The 20,734-nt window shown below is 38.9% G+C and overlaps 1 protein-coding gene and 1 long non-coding RNA gene across 8 annotated transcripts in view; one reads left to right on the top strand and one right to left on the bottom strand.

Moving 5' to 3' along the window:
* The window catches only part of LOC105375988 (uncharacterized), a 93,057-nt gene that overhangs the window by 22,319 nt on the left and 50,004 nt on the right, over positions 1 to 20,734 (bottom strand). The gene's annotated exons all lie outside the window — the stretch shown is intronic.
* Positions 1 to 20,734, top strand: part of SLC24A2 (solute carrier family 24 member 2) — an 800,438-nt gene that overhangs the window by 767,053 nt on the left and 12,651 nt on the right. For all 5 annotated transcript variants that reach the window (XM_017014592.2, NM_001193288.3, NM_020344.4 and 2 more), the window contains 2 exons: positions 12,702 to 12,791; positions 19,780 to 19,946. In XM_017014592.2, the coding sequence (XP_016870081.1) occupies positions 12,702 to 12,791; positions 19,780 to 19,946 (257 nt within the window). The remainder of the gene's footprint in view (positions 1 to 12,701; positions 12,792 to 19,779; positions 19,947 to 20,734) is intronic.

Below are 20,734 nucleotides of genomic sequence, written 5' to 3'. Positions count from 1 at the left end.
TACCTGAAAGTGATGGGGAGAATGGAACCAAGTTGGAAAACACTCTGCAGGATATTATCCAGGAGAACTTCCCCAATCTAGCAAGGCAGGCCAACGTTCAGATTCAGGAAATACAGAGAATGCCACAAAGATACTCCTCAAGAAGAGCAACTCCAAGACACATAATTGTCAGATTCACCAAAGTTGAAATGAAGGAAAAAATGTTAAGGGCAGCCAGAGAGAAAGGTCAGGTTACCCTCAAAGGAAAGCCCATCAGACTAACAGCGGATCTCTCGGCAGAAACCCTACAAGCCAGAAGAGAGTGGGGGCCAATATTCAACATTCTTAAAGACAAGAATTTTCAACCCAGAATTTCATATCCAGGCAAACTAAGCTTCATAAGTGAAGGAGAAATAAAATACTTTATAGACAAGCAAATGCTGAGAGATTTTGTCACCACCAGGCCTGCCCTAAAAGAGCTCCTGAAGGAAGCACTAAACATGGAAAGGAACAACCGGTACCAGCCGCTGCAAAATCATGCCAAAATGTAAAGACCATCAAGACTAGGAAGAAACTGCATCAACTAACGAGCAAAATCACCAGCTAACATCATAATGACAGGATCAAATTCACACATAACAATATTAACTTTAAATATAAATGGACTAAATTCTGCAATTAAAAGACACAGACTGGCAAGTTGGATAAAGAGTCAAGACCCATCAGTGTGCTGTATTCAGGAAACCCATCTCACGTGCAGAGACACACATAGGCTCAAAATAAAAGGATGGAGAAAGATCTACCAAGCCAATGGAAAACAAAAAAAGGCAGGGGTTGCAATCCTAGTCTCTGATAAAACAGACTTTAAACCAACAAAGATCAAAAGAGACAAAGAAGGCCATTACATAATGGTAAAGGGATCAATTCAACAAGAGGAGCTAACTATCCTAAATATTTATGCACCCAATACAGGAGCACCCAGATTCATAAAGCAAGTCCTGAGTGACCTACAAAGAGACTTAGACTCCCACACATTAATAATGGGAGACTTTAACACCCCACTGTCAACATTAGACAGATCAACGAGACAGAAAGTCAACAAGGATACCCAGGAATTGAACTCAGCTCTGCACCAAGCGGACCTAATAGACATCTACAGAACTCTCCACCCCAAATCAACAGAATATACATTTTTTTCAGCACCACACCACACCTATTCCAAAATTGACCACATAGTTGGAAGTAAAGCTCTCCTCAGCAAATGTAAAAGAACAGAAATTATAACAAACTATCTCCCAGACCACAGTGCAATCAAACTAGAACTCAGGATTAAGAATCTCACTCAAAGCCGCTCAACTACATGGAAACTGAACAACCTGCTCCTGAATGACTACTGGGTACATAATGAAATGAAGGCAGAAATAAAGATGTTCTTCGAAACCAGCGAGAACAAAGACACCACATACCAGAATCTCTGGGACACATTCAAAGCAGTGTGTAGAGGGAAATTTATAGCACTAAATGCCTACAAGAGAAAGCAGGAAAGATCCAAAATTGACACCCTAACATCACAATTAAAAGAACTAGAAAAGCAAGAGCAAACACATTCAAAAGCTAGCAGAAGGCAAGAAATAACTAAAATCAGAGCAGAACTGAAGGAAATAGAGACACAAAAAACCCTTCAAAAAATCAATGAATCCAGGAGCTGGTTTTTTGAAAGGATCAACAAAATTGATAGACCACTAGCAAGACTAATAAAGAAAAAAAGAGAGAAGAATCAAATAGACACAATAAAAAATGATAAAGGGGATATCACCACCGATCCCACAGAAATACAAACTACCATCAGAGAATACTACAAACACCTCTACACAAATAAACTAGAAAATCTAGAAGAAATGGATAAATTCCTCGACACATACACTCTCCCAAGACTAAACCAGGAAGAAGTTGAATCTCTGAATAGACCAATAACAGGCTCTGAAATTGTGGCAATAATCAATAGTTTACCAACCAAAAAGAGTCCAGGACCAGATGGATTCACAGCCGAATTCTACCAGAGGTACAAGGAGGAGCTGGTACCATTCCTTCTGAAACTATTCCAATCAATAGAAAAAGAGGGAATCCTCCCTAACTCATTTTATGAGGCCAGCATCATTCTGATACCAAAGCTGGGCAGAGACACAACCAAAAAAGAGAATTTTACACCAATATCCTTGATGAACATTGATGCAAAAATCCTCAATAAAATACTGGCAAACCAAATCCAGCAGCACATCAAAAAGCTTATCCACCATGATCAAGTGGGCTTCATCCCTGGGATGCAAGGCTGGTTCAATATACGCAAATCAATAAATGTAATCCAGCATATAAACAGAGCCAAAGACAAAAACCACATGATTATCTCAATAGATGCAGAAAAAGCCTTTGACAAAATTCAACAACCCTTCATGCTAAAAACTCTCAATAAATTAGGTATTGATGGGACGTATTTCAAAATAATAAGAGCTATCTATGACAAACCCACAGCCAGTATCATACCGAATGGGCAAAAACTGGAAGCATTCCCTTTGAAAACTGGCACAAGACAGGGATGCCCTCTCTCACCACTCCTATTCAACATAGTGTTGGAAGTTCTGGCCAGGGCAATCAGGCAGGAGAAGGAAATAAAGGGTATTCAATTAGGAAAAGAGGAAGTCAAATTGTCCCTGTTTGCAGACGACATGATTGTTTATCTAGAAAACCCCATCGTCTCAGCCCAAAATCTCCTTAAGCTGATAAGCAACTTCAGCAAAGTCTCAGGATACAAAATCAATGTACAAAAATCACAAGCATTCTTATACACCAACAACAGACAAACAGAGAGCCAAATCATGAGTGAACTCCCATTCACAATTGCTTCAAAAAGAATAAAATACCTAGGAATCCAACTTACAAGGGATGTGAAGGACCTCTTCAAGGAGAACTACAAACCACTGCTCAAGGAAATAAAAGAGGACACAAACAAATGGAAGAACATTCCATGCTCATGGGTAGGAAGAATCAATATTGTGAAAATGGCCATACTGCCCAAGGTAATTTACAGATTCAATGCCATCCCCATCAAGCTACCAATGACTTTCTTCACAGAATTGGAAAAAACTACTTTAAAGTTCATATGGAACCAAAAAAGAGCCCGCATCTCCAAGTCAATCCTAAGCCAAAAGAACAAAGCTGGAGGCATCACACTACCTGACTTCAAACTATACTACAAGGCTACAGTCACCAAAACAGCATGGTACTGGTACCAAAACAGAGATATAGATCAATGGAACAGAACAGAGCCCTCAGAAATAATGCCACATATCTACAACTATCTGATCTTTGACAAACCTGAGAAAAACAAGCAATGGGGAAAGGATTCCCTATTTAATAAATGGTGCTGGGAAAACTGGCTAGCCATATGTAGAAAGCTGAAACTGGATCCCTTCCTTACACCTTATACAAAAATCAATTCAAGATGGATTAAAGATTTAAACGTTAGACCTAAAACCATAAAAACCCTAGAAGAAAACCTAGGCATTACCATTCAGGACATAGGCATGGGCAAGGACTTCATGTCCAATACACCAAAAGCAATGGCAACAAAAGACAAAATTGACAAATGGGATCTAATTAAACTAAAGAGCTTCTGCACAGCAAAAGAAACTACCATCAGAGTGAACAGGCAACCTACAACATGGGAGAAAATTTTCGCAACCTACTCATCTCACAAAGGGCTAATATCCAGAATCTACAGTGAACTCAAACAAATTTACAAGAAAAAAACAAACAACCCCATCAAAAAGTGGGCAAAGGACATGAACAGACACTTCTCAAAAGAAGACATTTATGCAGCCAAAAAACACATGAAAAAATGCTCATCATCACTGGCCATCAGAGAAATGCAAATCAAAACCACTATGAGATATCATCTCACACCAGTTAGAATGGCAATCATTAAAATGTCAGGAAACAACAGGTGCTGGAGAGGATGTGGAGAAATAGGAACACTTTTACACTGTTGGTGGGACTGTAAACTAGTTCAACCATTGTGGAAGTCAGTGTGGCTATTCCTCAGGGATCTAGAACTAGAAATACCATTTGACCCAGCCATCCCATTACTGGGTATATACCCAAATGACTATAAATCATGCTGCTATAAAGACACATGCACACGTATGTTTATTGTGGCATTATTCACAATAGCAAAGACTTGGAACCAACCCAAATGTCCAACAATGATAGACTGGATTAAGAAAATGTGGCACATATACACCATGGAATACTATGCAGCCATAAAAAATGATGAGTTCATGTCCTTTGTAGGGACATGGATGAAATTGGAAACCATCATTCTCAGTAAACTATCGCAAGAACAAAAAACCAAACGCCGCATATTCTCACTCATAGGTGGGAATTGAACAATGAGATCACATGGACACAGGAAGGGGAATATCACACTCTGGAGACTGTGGTGGGGTCGGGGGAGGGGGGAGGGATAGCATTGGGAGATATACCTAATGACAGATGACACGTTAGTGGGTGCAGCACACCAGCATGGCACATGTATACATATGTAACTAACCTGCACAATGTGCACATGTACCCTAAAACTTAAAGTGTAATAAAAAAAAATAAATAAATAAAAAATTAAAAAAAAAGAAAATTTCTTAGAATCAGATAAAAAAAAAAAAGACAAACAGAGAGCCAAATCATGAGTGAACTCTCATTCACAACTGCTACAAAGAGAATAAAATGCCTAGGAATACAACTTACAAGGGATGTGAAGGACCTCTTCAAGGAGAACTGCAAACCACTGCTCAAGGAAATAAGAGAGGACACAAATAAATGGAACAACATGCCTGCTCATGGATAGGAAGAATCACTATCATGAAAATGGCCATACTTTCCAAAGTAATTTATAGATTCAATGCTGTCCCCATCAAGCTACCACTGACTTTCTTCACAGAATTGGAAAAACTGCTTTAAAGTTCATATGGAACCAAAAAAGAGCCTGTATAGCCAAGGCAATCCTAAGCAAAGAACAAAGCTGGAGGCATCACACTACCTGACTCCAAACTAGGCTACCGTAACCAAAACAGCATGGTACTGGTACCACAACAGGTATATAGACCAATGGAACAGAACAGAGGCCTCAGAAATAACACCACACATCTACAATCATCTAATCTTTGACAAACCTGACAAAAACAAGAAATGGGGAAAGGATTCCCTATGTAATCAATGGTGCTGGGAAAATTGGCTAGTCACATGCAGAAAACTTAAACTGGACCCTTTCCTTACACCTTACACAAAAATTAACTCAAGATGGATTAAAGACTCCACCTTAAGACCTAAAACCGTAAAAATCCTAGAAGAAAACCTAGGCAATACCATTCTGGACATAGGCATTAGGAAAGACTTCATGTCTAAAACACGAAAAGCAATGGCAACAAAAGCCAAAATTGGCAACTGGGATCTCATTAAACTAAAGAGCTTCTGCACAGCAAAAGGAACTACCATTAGAGTGAATAGGCAACCTACAGAATGGGAGAAAAATTTTGCAATCTATCCATCTGACAAACGGCTAATATCCAGAATCTTCAAAGAACTTAAATTTACAAGAAAAAAACAACCCCATCAAAAAGTGGGCAAAGGATATGAACAGACACACTTCTCAAAAGACGACATTTATGCAGCCAGCAAACATGAAAAAAAAGCTCATCATCACTGGTCATTAGAGAAATGCAAATCAAAACCACAATGAGATACTATCTCATACCAGTTAGAATGGTGATCATTAAAAAGTCAGGAAACAACAGGTGCTGGAGAGGATGTGGTGAAATAGGAACACTTTTACACTGTTGGTGGGGGTGTAAGTTAGTTCAACCATTGTGGAAGACAGTGTGGCAATTCCTCAAGGATCTAGAATTAGAAATACCATTTGACCCAGCAATCTCATTACTGGGTATATACCCAAAGGATTATAAATCATTCTACTATAAAGACACATGTACACATATGTTTATTGTGGCACTATTCACAATAGCAAAGACTTGGAACCAACCCACATGTCCATCAGTGGTAGACTGGATAAAGAAAATGTGCCACATATACACCATGGAGTATTATGCAGCCATAAAAAAGGATGAGTTCATGTCCTTTGCAGGGACATGGATGAAGCTGGAAACTATCATTGTCAGCAAACTAACACAAGAACAGAAAACTAAACACCGCATTTTTTTCACTCATAAGTGGGAGTTGAACAATGAGATAACATGGACCCGGGGAGGGGATCATCACACACTGGAGCCTGTCAAGGGGTGGGGGGCTAGGGGAGGGAGAACATTAGGACAAATATCTAATGTAGGTGACAGGTTGATGGGTGCAGCAAACCACCATGGCACATGTATACCTAAGTAACAAAGCTGCACATTCTGCGCATGTACCCAAGAACTTAAAGTGTATTTAAAAAAAGAGATACAAAGACAAAAAATGTACAATTTATATTGTTAAGGCACTCTAAGTCTAGTAAAGGAAACCAGGCATGGCCACATATAACCACAGAGCAAGACTTTACAGCTGTATTAGTGAGAGAAGCTGGATTTGAACCCAAGTCCCCTGACTCCAGATCATTTTCATTGTACCACATTGACTGTGATGGGTTTTCCCCCCACAGCTGATTAGCTGTACAACATTAGGAAAAGCACTTCTCAACTCTGGACCGAATTTTTTCCCCTCTGTGAATAAATGGTCAGAAGGTTTCTGGATTCCCTGCCAGCCATGACATTCTGTGATTAAGGAAAGCATGAGATAACCATCAAAAAAGCTACTGCACATTTAAAGTGATCCTACATCCCAGATTACCCAGGACGGTCCCAGTTTATTCACAAAGCATATTGGTTTGGAAGATATATGGGTGTATTCTGCATATACAATATGCCAAATGAAAGAAACCATGCCAGTTGACACAAATCCAGTAAGTGATCATGCTTAGTTAGAAGATTTTTGTTAGATTTGACCTTGTATCAGTTATCTTTTGCTTTGTAACATACCACCCCAACCTAGTGGCTTAATACAAGACATTTTTTAGCCCATAATTCTGTGAATTGGCAATTTGGGTTGTGCTCAGCTGGACAGTTCAGCTGCTGGTCTTAGTGGTGCTCAGTTAATGGCTGGGAGCTGGTTGGTACAGGGCTATTGAAGCTGGAACAGCTTGTCTCTGCTCCACATACTCTCTTATCTCAAAGCAGGCTAGCCTGGACTTAGTCACATAATGGCAAAGTGCCGAGAGCAGCAAGTATGAAAGCTACAAAGCCCTCTTGAGATCTAGTTTGAAATTTGCACGCTGTCACTTCCAATACATTCTTTTGGTCAAAGCAAGTCATAAGGCCAGCCCAGATTCGAAGAGTGGAAAAATAGACCTCACCTCTTGATGAGAGGAGCAGCAAAGTATTGTGCCCATTTTTGCAGTCCACCATAGAACTTATGTGCTTCCACAGGGACCTCTTGAGAAAATACATACGGAGAGGAAAGAGAGGGGAAAAATTAACTAATACATATTTGCCCCTCCTTAGGGCCTGGCAGCTCTGCCTCTTCTGTAGATTTTGATTGCCCAAGAAGATGAACATACCAAACCTTGACAGTAATTACAAGGAAAACATGATTTTTTCATGTATACTTATAGTTTCAGAGTATATAGTACTCCCACTAGCTTTTATTTCTGCTTCATTTATATGCAAATTGTATGACAGTGTTTGTTGAACCATGCATAATTTCAGCTCACATAATTAATATGGGCTTTACACTTACAGTTTTATTAATGGCTTTGTTTCCAAAGTAAAAGAACTAAAATATAAACTTCAATGAGGACCAAGTCTTTGATGAAAACTGAAAATAAACTAAGGACCGAAAAAGTTATCTTCTCTCATGACTAAGATAGATACTCCTGCAAAACAAGAATGCATCTAATGAGATATGAAAACATGACCCATTAGAACTAGGAAGGAACCTGAGAACCCAGCTAGATGTTTGCAATTTCTATTATTCATTGATTCATCAAGTATCTATTCAGTGTCTACTATGTGCCAAGCAAGGTCTAACAAGGATAAAGTAATTGACACCCACAGAGGTTTGGTGACTTATTCAAGCACACCCAGCTAGAAAGACGCAAAGCCAAGACTCTGGGCCAGGTCTTCACAGTCATGTTCACTTCCCCAATTATCAGTTTCTTTATCTCTTAAAAACTAAAATGAGAATACAGTTGGCTCTTCATATCTGCAGGCTCTGCATTCAAACAATCACAGATTGAAAATATTCAGGAAAAAAATTTTAATACAACAGTAAAAAATACAGATAAAAACAATACAATTTAACAACTGTTTACATAGCATTTACATTCTATTCGGCCTCAAATAATTTAGAGCTGATTTAAAGTATATGGGAGTCAGGTGAGGTATCTCACACCTGTAGTCCCAGCACTTTGGGAAGCCGAGGCAGGAGGATCATCTGAGGTTGGGAGTTCGAGACCAGCCTGACCAACATAGAGAAACCCTGTCTCTACTAAAAATACAAAAAATTAGCCGGGCATGGTGGCACATCCCTGTAATCCCATGCCTGTAAACCCTACCTCAGGAGGCTGAGGTAGGAGAAACACTTGAACCCACAAGGTGGAGGTTATGGTGAGCCAAGATTGCACCATTGCACTCCAGCCTGGGCAACAACAGGGAAACTCTGTCAAACAAACAAATAAATAAATAAAGTATATGGGATGATTCACAAAGGTTATATGTAAATACTCCACCATTTCATATTATGGATTTGGGCATCTGCAGATTTTGGTATCCTCAGGGGTGGTGGAACCCTCATGAATACAAGGGCATGACTATATTGTCTAATAACAAATATAATTATCTGAGCACTTATGTGCGAGGTACTTTGCTAGACATTTTATGTACATGAAGTCCTCAAAACAACTAGATGTTATTTCTCCCATTTTACAGATGAAGAAACCTAAGCTTAAAGAGATTAAATAATTTGTCTCAGGTCACATTGCTGGTAATTTGTGAGCAGAGATTTCAATACCAGTCATATTAATCCAGAGACCACACTTTAAATCTTTAGTAGGATTTGGGGGGTGGGGGGGGGTCTTTGTTAAATATATGTCCCAGAACCTTACACAGAGTAGATGCTGAGTGAATATTTGTTGAATTTAAATCAGTAAGGATATAGCTAATTTGTACAACCAGCTAATGTCCAGCATCTTTTTCCAAGCCAAGCCGATATCACTCTGATGTACCAAAAGCTTCTAATCAGAGCATCCACTGTCAATTATGTAAGTAAACCACAACATGGGCACAAAATGGCCAGCACATGGATGCAATTTGCTTATTTGCTAATTAGTATGAGGTCCATCCCAGCAGATGGCAGGATGAACCCCCATTACTATAACCATAAATTGTCATGTTAGACCTTGGCTCCAAGAGCTATTTTCTTCCTTCCAATGACACTGGTAACTAAATGACTGTACAGTTGCTACTGGGCAGAGATGTCTGGAATGAGACCATGCTGTCCAAGTAAGGGGAATGGTCCAAGAAAAATGAAAGAAGTGATTACCTGGGGTGTGAAAATGGAAATGGTAAAGTAGTTCAACAGTTAGGAAACACTTAGCCCAACTGCTGATGAATGAAACGTTGATACTTCCAAAGCAGGAACAACATGGGAGGTTGGGCGAGGCAGATGGCCATACAGCTGGAATGCTAGTTTCTACTTCCCTGATGCTTTTTTTAATTTTCTGACATTCAGAGCAGAGCCTGGTATGATGATCATGATCATGATCATTATGTATATGGCGGGGTATATTTTGAGCATTATTGGCCCTGTTTTTCTTTAGGAAAGAGTCAGTATAATCTAGATATTGGGAGCACGTGTGGTACAGTCAGGCTGACCTAGTTTGAATTTTATCTCTAGTTCAGGATCTGGGTACAGAGTAAGTTCTCAGACTTTATCTACCTCTAGCTTATGATGAAGACTGAAAATTCACAAAGAATATTTTTAGCCTTCTTCATTGAGCCCCTAATGCAACATTAGGTATGGTTCGATGCCCATTAATTACTAATTGGCTTCTTGATTAAGAATCATGGGCATCAAATATTGATTTAGAGAGGTTTTCCCTAGTATGTTGATTTGAATTTAGTTCCTTTAATTCCTTTTCTGATACCTTGCTTTATACCTTTTGGCTAGGAATTTTCTGTAGCTCAGTTATGATATTTTTCAGATGAGAAATATGTTCAAATGATTTGATTCTGACTTGTGAAGTTATCTCAAAGAATAAACAGGCAGAGGTACAAAGTTAAAATAATAATTATACATTTAGTAAATGAGCTAACCTGGAAAACGAGCAATCTATGAAATGAGGACTCTCCTAGGACATCTAGTACTTATGCCACACCTTAAGGCATGTAGAAAGCTTTTCATTGTCCTCATACATTGCCCAGAATCAACCATTGGTTGGGGCTCTAATCACACACGTGACCCCACGTGGCAAGAGGGTTCTTCTCTTTCCTGTAACAGAGCACAGCCATGGAAGATGAAACCCTCATTGCACGTAGGATCCTGAAACAGTGACTGTGACCAGATGAAAAGGATGGGAACTTTAATAAGCTAAATGCCTTGGAAAACTTCATCTCTTAGCACTGGCTCAGGGAATTCGGTCTCCAGAATCCGGCTGATTTCCTAGCTTAAAAAAAAAAAAAAAAAAAAGCTGCTTTTATAAGTAAAGATCTAATGGCTGGGTGCGGTGGCTTACACCTGTAATCCTAGCACTTTGGGAGGCTGAAGCAGGCAGATCATCTGAGGTCAGGATTTTGAAACCAGCCTGGCCAACATGGTGAAACCCTGCCTCTACTAAAAAATACAAAAAAATTAGTGGGGTGTGGTGGCAGGTGCCTGTAATTCCAGCTACTCAGGAGGCTGAGGCAGGAGAATTGCTTGACCCAGGAGGCAGAGGTTGCAGTGAGCCAAGATCATGCCACTGCACTCCAGCCTGGGTGACCGAGTGAGACTCCATCTTAAAAAAAAAAAAAAAAACGAAGGTCTCCAACTCCACTTTAAAAAAATGATTACCTTTTTATTTCCCCCATTACCCATTAAAGCGCTTAGGTCCCTAGGAGGGGTCTGAGTCCTTGTCCAAAATATTTTTCTTCTAAGAAAGAAAGGGAGCAGGGAAAAGCATTTGAGGGTAAGGTTTTGGCTACTCACTGTGGCCTGATGCCCTCCCCCGATTTAATCAAACCTGCTTGGTCTTACAGTCATCCAAGCTAACAAACGGCCCCACAAAACAGCAATCATTTAAAGAAATGTATGGGGTAAAATTTAACAGAACCATGCAAATGATCATAAGAAATATATATTGAAAACTTGAAATTAGTAAAGAAAACATAAGCCTGGTTTGGAGCAATAGAGACTGTGTTCATCATTATTGATATTCAAAAGATTACCATGTATGAGTTTATCTTTTCCTTTTAATGGAGCTCTCAAAAGCCATGACAGAACGTGTTCTGTGTGACTGCCCAAGGTCAGCCTTTCGGACAATTGAGATTACTTTCATACAAGTCAACTCTAAAATTCATTTCTCTAGATAAAATTGGATGGCATTATCAAAGCAAAAAGTGGGATTGTTTCTCAACGTGGAAAGCTTTCAAATAAAGTGTTTGGCAATAATAGGCAAGAGGCTCTCTGACAGCATTGTGCTGTCTGAGTGTGTTTTTAAAAGACCCCAATTTTTCAACAAAGGACATCAAAAGAACACCACTACAGTGCAAGCCTGGGTTTCTCTGTAGTGGGACTGGGTAAGAAACACTGCATTTCAAGTGTCTGATTTTTTGGCTATTTCTAGGAAACTTTAAAAATGCTCACACTTTATGCCTGAGATAGCATAAAGTCTACTTCTAGAAGCAGAATTGAACATAATATATTTTGGGGTGGTGAACAGGAGAGAAAACATTCTTGAGAGCAATGTCTGATCTGCCATCTCAGTGGAAATCAGTACAATTGGGCGCTTCTGCCTCTGTCTACTCTGGTCCATGGGTGGTTCCAGTGTCCTGGAGAATGGCCATCATCCAGAATCTATAAAAGTTGTGGTGGTGGCTTTTTCTGTGTGACTTTCTTGATAATTTGTGGTACTGTAAGATGAGTCAATCTATTTTTAAACCTGCTGATCCTTCCCATTTCTTATTCAATGGAATTAATCCCATAGGTTTCCTGGCATATGGATTGTTAGGATTCATGGTTTGCAAGCAATAGAAACTGATTCTGACAAACTCTGGAGCAAAAGAAAGAAAAAGGAGGAGGGAGAATATGGTGTTAATATTGAAGGAAAGGCCAAAAAACCAGGCCTTAGAAAGGACAAGAGCAGAGGGAATCTAAACATCTAATAGCAGGAACTAACAGACATTCTCTTCAAGATTTCCATCTCAGGAGCCAGCACTGTGATCACTCAGTTCCTATCAATTTCACATCTCCAAGGGAGAATCTTACTGTCCCAGCTTGATCAGGAGTGAGTAGGGTCTTTTGATTGCCAATCCTACTAAGATGCAGGAAATGCTAGAGAAATTGCTACAATGGTGGCTTTAGCTTTGGATTTCCAGATCAGTCTCAATGGATAACACTGATATTCTCAACTCTTCCTGGTTGTCTTTCAGTCATCGAGGAAGTTTTTTCCCATCACGTTCTTTGGCTCCATTACCTGGATTGCAGTATTCTCTTACTTGATGGTCTGGTGGGCGCACCAGGTAAGATTTTGATAGTGACATGCCTCTGCCTTGTTTTTCTCCAGTCCTGATTGTCAAGTGTTTAATCATTGTGTTTGCTTTCTGCAACTGCCACAACAGTATTGGGTGTGACACAGACGAGTTAGCATTCCAGGACTAGAGGAATTTATCCACTTAACTTTCCCTAGTCTTCTGGCTGTAGCATGGAATTAAATCAGCATAGCCTCTGGACAGCCATGTGGAGGCAGGCAAGTCTAACTACTTCTTGCCTCTGCAGCCTGACAGACACCAGGACAACCCAGACCTGAGAGCAATGTCAAGATTTTGCCTGGTTCAGTAGTACTGACTTTATCTTGAGCAGCCACTCACCTCACGTTCTCACCAGCAGTTTAAAACTGGCTCTAGGAAAGCATCTGGAGACAAAATAGCCTCTTCCTTGAGCTTCACTTTACATAAATGATGATGTATTGTTATTATTTTTAACTCAATATGAGTCACAATGCCCATCACAAGAATACACTCTCAGTAATCATTATTGAAAAACATGAATGAAGAGTAAGATTCAAGGGTTTCACATTTTCAAAGATAATAGTGGTAACTATTGATAATTGAGTATGTCCTACACACCCAACAATTCACATCCCTTTGTCTTTATAATCTTAACAGTAACCCTATACATAGGTTCAAAGCCTATGAAGCAGGTACTATTATTATCCACAGTTTACAGATAAAGAAGTTAAGCTTAAAGTTGGTAAGATTACCCAAAATCACATAGGTAGAACTGAGATTTTAACCCAGGACTCTGCAACTCCAAAAATCATACTTTTAATCTCTATTATAAACTACATAAATTCCAAACTTCCCACTTGTATCCTTTGTTTAATATAATCCTAAAATTATTATACTTGGCAACATAAATAAGATATAGAAATTTGAAATAAGGAAATATATACTGAGAACATGTGAATAGACTTTTCAACAAATGATGCTGGAATAATTGGATTTCCATATGCCAAAATAAATAAACTTAGATCCTTACCTCATACTTTACATAAAATTTAACTGAAAGCACATCATAGTTTGAAATGTAAGAGTTTGTAAAGCTGTCAAACTTCTAGAGGACAGAAAAAAAATCTGTATGACCATAAGCCAGGCAAAGAGTTCTTTGATACAATACCAAAGCATGATCCATGAAAGCAAGAAAATTGATTAATTAATTTCATCAAAATTAAAACTTTTGCTCTTCAGGAAACACCATTAAAAAGGAAAAGGAAAACCACAGGCTGGAAGAAAATATTTGCAAATCATATATATCTGATAAAGCACTTGTATCCAAGATACAAGCTTAAAGCTCCATAATAGGAAGGCAAGCATCTTCAAGTATCCTAATTTTGAAGATCTGAACAGATATTTCACCAAAGAAAATACGCAGATGGCTAAAAAGCACAAGAAAATATGCTCAACATCATTATTAATTAAAGAAGTGTAAATCAAAACCATAACAAGATACCACTTTACACCCACTAGGATGGGTATAATCAAAAAGACAGAACCTAACAAGTGTTGATGAGGATGTATAGAAATTAGAATCCTTACATACTGCTGATAGGAATGTAAAACAGTGCAGCCACTTTGGGAAATAGTTTGGCAGTTCCACAAAACATTAAACATAGAGTTACCATATGATCTAGCAATTCCACTCCTAGGAATAGGCTTAAGAGAAATGAAAACATACGTCCACAAACACTTGTAAACAAATGTTCAAAGTAGCATTATTCATAATTACCAAAAAGTGAAAACAACCCAAATGTCCATCAACTGATGAATGGATAAGCAAAATATGGTATATCCATACAATGGAATATTACACAGTACAAAGAAATGAAGTACCAATACATGCTACAACATGAGTGAAATTCGAAAATATTATGCTAAGTGAAAAAAGCCAGTTACAAAAGGACACATCATATGATTTCATTTATATGAAGTATACAGAACAGGCAAATCTATAGAGACATATAATAGGTTAATATTAATAGTTGCCTAGGATTGGAGAGGTTGGGGGAAAATGGGGAGTGACTGCCAGTGGGTATGGGTTTCTTCTGGGGATGATGAATAAGTTCAAAACCTAAATTATGAAGGCTGCACAACTCTGAATACATTAAAAACCATTGAATTATACACTTTAAAATGGCTAAATTTTATGGTATGTAAATTACATCTCAATAAACTTGTTTGAAACTAATCCAAGATATCACTTCACAACCACTAGGTTGGCTATAAAAAAAAAAAAAAAAAAAAAAACAGTAGCATGTGTTGATAAGGATGTGGAGAAACATGGCTGCATACATTTGTAAAAACTTGCAGGCTGGTTGCAGTGGGTCATGCCTGTAGTCCCAGCACTTTGGGATGCTGAGGCAGGCAGATCCCTTGACCCCAGGAGTTCGAGATCAGCCTGGGCAACATGGCAAAACCCTGTCTTTACAAAAATACAAAAAATTAGCTGGCCATGGTAGCACACGCCTGTAGTCCCAGCTACTCGGGAGGTTGAGTGGGGAGGATCATTTGATCCCAGGAGGTGAAGGCTGCAATGAGCCAAGATCACACCACTGCACTCCAGCATGGGTGGCAGAGTAAGACCCTGTCTTTTAAAAAAAAAAAAAAAAAAAAAAAAAAAAGTAAAGAAATAGGAAAAAAAAACCTTGCAGAACTGTACACTTTTTAAAAAGGTGAATGAGTTTTACTCTATGTAAAGCATACCTTGGTTTTTAAAAGAATACATGTTACTAGCAAAATCCACAGAAAATGTTGGCTGATACACTGTCTTATTTCTACATGATATTTTATATTATTCATATCACAGTTATTTTACTGACATTTGACTTCAGATTACTCTTCCTGGATATTTCCAAAAAATCATTGGCTTCCTGAGCAAGTTCTCTGTGCCTTGGAGTCATTATTTTATACACTCATTGAGAGACATTTGCTACCAACACCTGGCAGAAATCACAGCAGAAGGTGGGCTGGTTTTCAGCCTCCAGATGTCCAGGCTGAAAGGACTGTTTGCCATTTATAACATATAATAGTTTTTCTTAATAATCATCTTCTATTTCTTCATGTACTAATAAAGAAAAAATGGTGTTTTTCTAACTTGCTGGGATATGTTGTTTCCCAGATATTTCTTTTTTGCCGTTTTATAAAACATCATGCAGGGTTCCATCTTTTTCTTTTTAATGATTACCTTAATTCCAGTCTTGTTTTCTTTCCATTCTTTCAAAGAAAAGGAACACAAATTCAATGGCTGAAACAATAATAATTTTAAAAAGCCAAGACGAATGAAAGCCATAAATGGAAGCCTTACTTTTCATTGATGGAAGAGAAGTTTCTCTTTTCTCCTATACAAATACTTCTTTAAAAACACCCAGACAGCTGAACAAAATAGATTCTGTTCCAAGAAGTCTAGCTCTAATTCTGTTGTTTGTACTTCTGAACTATAAAATCCATAGCAGTTATATAGTGTTCAACTCTTTTGTTATCAACACTTTTATCATAAATGCTATTTGATAATTTGGCTACTGTTTGGCAAAAAATAAATGCCCTTCACCTACAATGCTTTAACATAATTTGCCCTTGGCTTTTTTTTTTTTTTTTGCCTTTATCTTTTGTTTTTGTTGTTCTTGTTTCTTATTGTTTTTGCACTTTAATAAATTTAATGGGTGATGACAACCTGTAGTTAAAGTCAATCCTGCATCTAATATTAGAAATTAATTTTAAGAGTCAACTAAGACCTTGTGTCTCATTTAGCCACTATAGCATTCTTTCAGATCCTCCTTAAACCAAGGCACAGAACTGCATCACAAAATATTGGGAGCAGCATGGAGTTTGGCCTCCTCTGAGTGGCCTAATTTGCTTTTTTTTTTTTTTTTTTTTTTGAAAATGAAGTAATTTCCCCCAAAAGACTGCTGATGTTCTTTCTATTAAAAGCTCTAAGCCTCTCTGATGCTCCCTGATTTTTCAGAGTACTGTCCCGTCCATGTGCCCATCATCTTTACTGATTTGACAAAAGTTAACTTGAGTGAAATGTACTCAAAACAAGCTTATGAAGACTAGTTCTTCTTCCACAAAAGGCTTTCTAGAGCCACACAGATTCACCAGGGGTTTGATGTCTAATGAAAATTCTCATGAAGTTTTCCATGATGTGAATTGGCCCCAGTAAGCCCACTTCTGTTCCTGCTGCCAGACACCTGACAGTCTAATAAATTGGAGAGGGAAAGGAGTAATGTCTGAGTTATAAAATCTGGTTTTTTGGCTGGGTGCCGTGGCTCACCCCTGCAATCCCAGCACTTTAGGAGGCCAAGGCAGGCGGATTACCTGAGGTCAGGAGTTCGAGACCAGCCTGGCCAACGTGGTGAAACCCCATCTCTACTAAAAATGCAAAAATTAGCCAGGCATGGTGGCAGATGCCTGTAATCCCAGCTACTTGGGAGGCTGAGGCAGGAGAATCACTTGAACCCAGGAAGCAAATGTTTCAGTGAGCCGAGATCACACCACTGCACTCCAGCCTGGGCAACAGAACGAGACTCCGTCTCAAAAAAAACATATTAAGTTAAAAAAAAAACTAGATTTTTATTTAACATTTGCTTTATACCTGACACTGTGCTGTATGATTTGCATCTCACATATAGTCATCAACAATTCTGAGTGGATATTATCCTCATTTTACAGATAGGAAAGACTGAGACTCAGGGAAGTTGTCTAACTTGCACTAGGAGTGGCAAGCTAGGATTTGTACCCAGCACTGTCATCTCCCAAGCCAGTGCTCTTAACCACACCACCATTTTTCTCCTCTTCAATTCCTATGTTTTCCTGTATATAGTAGCATTCAAACTCCAAATACAAATTATTTTGTTTATATTTCGGGGACAAGGTCTTGCTATATTGCCCAGTCTGGTCTCAAATGTCCAGGCTCAAGTGATCCTCGTGCCTCAACCCCCGAGTAGCTGGAACTACCGTGCATGGCATTGTGCCCAGCAAATAATTTTTCAGTCACTACTTTAGAATTCCCTCCAAGAATTTAATTATTAAGAATGTTTTAAACAGATTGGAACTTGCCGACAGTAACAGTTGTTTAGTCAGCATCTGCTCAGTCTTTGGCAATGCTTCACTCCAAATCTAACAAAAAACTGACAATTTGAGAATATTTTGCTCAAATAGGGCACTCCTGTGCAAAAGTCTTATTGAACTTTTTCTAGGAGAATCAGCAGAAAAACATACTAGTGAAATCACCTAGGTATGCAGATTGATTTGCTTACTCAGCAAATCAGTATTAAGAGCCTGCCATGTATCAGGCTGTGTATGTTCTGTCAACTAGGGAGATCGTGGTGACCAAGGTGAGGATCCTGCATACATGGAACTTACTAATGGGGAGCAGTGATTCTGTGTCCCATGAGGACAGGGTAAGCTAGTTCAGCTCACCAGGCTCTGGAGCAGGCATGACCATCAAAACAAAAATATGCTTTTAAGCTAGTAGGAATCATACTATTTCTTATAAAAATAAGAATTTTTTTAAAAAGGATTTAGAAATGAGTGTATTCTATTCCCTAAAAGGCTTTATTCTTATATGCTATTTTGGCCCTTTAAATTTTTTCAAAAAATGCTGGACATCATCAGGTAACCTGTTGGAAACCAGATGGAAAGCATTATCTTGAAGGTTTTCAGAGCCACACTTCACCAAGTCCAGCAAAACATGAATAGGTTTTAAAAGTCCCAAGAGGCCAGGCACAGTGGCTCACACCTGTAATCCCAGAACTTTGGGAGGCCAAGGCAGGAGGATCTCGAGGCCGAGAGTTCAAGACCAGCCTGGGCAACATAGTAAGAACCATCTCTAAAAAAAACTAGCCAGGTGTGGCAGTGCTCACCTGTGGTCCCAGCTACTCTGAAGGCTAAGGTTGGAAGATCGCTTGAGCCCAGGAGGTTGAGGCTGCAGTGAGCTGTGGCTGTGCCACTGCACTCTAGCCTGGGCAACAGAGCAAGAACCCATCTCTAAAGAAAATAAGTAAGTTTTTCTAAAAAGTCCCAAGAAGACAAACAAATTGCTCAAGAGAATGGAGGAGCTTCCACGTGAGGCTAGACCAACCTTCCAAAATAGAACTCATCAGTCTTAAAAGGCAAAGAAAAAGACCAAAAAAAAAAAAAGAAAAAAAAAGAAAAAAAGTAATAGCCACCCTCCCCTTGCTTTTCAATAATAATGTACTATTCACAAAGAGTCTGTCACAGATTATCATTTAGTCCTCACAAGTACCTGGTAAGGTAGGTATTATTATCCCCAGTTTATGGATGAGAAAGTGAGGATCAATGACATATAATTGGTACAGTAAGCAAAATGTCAAGAAATTAACACATACCAGAGCCAGATCTTGGACCCAGGTCCTCTGATTTTCTGGATTTTGCTTCTCCACAGTTGCTTTGCTATGTGTTACCAAAACCCGAAACACCCAGAATCGAGATTCCAGTGGAAATTATAGCATCTTGAAGTGTTTCAGAATAGATTATAGACACTAGGAGATGCTAAAGGAGAATGGAGACCCTGGGTGTCAGTCCTTGGTTTTGGTAGTAAGTTGAAGGGCAAATCTTCCACAGGACTTGGTGCCACTGCCAGGTGCTGCCCCCTGGATTCCATGGCCAATTGGCCTTTCTACCTCTAATCCTGCAGCTTCCCTGACTCAATCTTAGAAAGCACCATATAAAGGCTACACTCTAGCCCTCTAGAGCTCTTTTTTGAGATTATCTGTTTAATTTTCATGTGAACATTCCTGATGCCTTGGGTCTGAATATCCTAAAAGCATAAACTCTATTAGCAATGACTGTGGCTTATTCATCTTTATCATCTCAGCACTTTGCATAGCACAGTATAGAAATGCATTAAAAGGAGGTCGCATTGAAATTTTTGTGATTTTTATGATTTTGTAACTTCAAACACTGAGATGTTTATTCCTGTCCTGACATTTAGGTTGGAGAGACAATTGGCATCAGTGAAGAGATTATGGGCCTGACCATCTTGGCTGCTGGGACCTCCATCCCTGATCTTATCACCAGTGTCATAGTGGCCCGGAAGGGGTTAGGGGACATGGCTGTGTCCAGCTCTGTTGGAAGCAACATTTTTGACATCACTGTAGGGTGAGTAGAGGTAGTTCTACAAAGGTGTGCACCAGCTCCACCAGTGTCTTTGTCTTCTTAGAAGCTGGAAAGACATGACCAGGATCTCTGAACCTAAGACTAACCAATACCAATACAGAGTAAAGATTGAGAATACCATTGCATTTCCCCAATTCTATTTCTCATTTTCTCATTTCAGAGAACTTAATGAAAAATAAGTCATCCCTAGACAAGCAGAAGCACATACCTACATACAGAATGGGTATTTTAGGAAATACTTTAGAATTTCACTTATATAACAACATTCAAGTGGAACTGAGATACCGTGATAGCTTCATGATAAGAAGGTTCACATTCTAATTTTAATTAAAGTCCCCACCAGCCTAAGGTGAGATTTGGATTTTAAGGCAGATTGGGGAAAACATAGGCCTACCATACATATCCTGTTTCCTTCCTTGGAAAATACTGACAGTCTTGGCATTACCATTTGTTTATCTGTACTGGTGAAGATATTCCAGGTTTTTTGAAAGCCAGAAGGTGAGACCTGTTCTTATAATGAAGCAAACATGAGCTCTCAGTATGAATAATCACTAAAGTGAATCAGACTGGGGAGAGGTGCTGCGATCTCCACCATTTTATTTAACTTGTCAAAAGTAAAAATAGTCTGACAAATAAACTTAACATCAGTACCCTGAGAGAATAAGATATAAGACATTATCCTTACGTTCCCAGGAGTACTGGGCTCCTAACACTTGAGTTTGGAACCTCACTAAAAACACCTACTTTCTCATTGAATATCTTAAATATTG

Source organism: Homo sapiens, chromosome 9 (assembly GCF_000001405.40).
Source record: "Homo sapiens chromosome 9, GRCh38.p14 Primary Assembly".
Taxonomy (NCBI): domain Eukaryota; kingdom Metazoa; phylum Chordata; class Mammalia; order Primates; family Hominidae; genus Homo; species Homo sapiens.
This window is presented reverse-complemented; position numbering and strand designations above follow the sequence as displayed.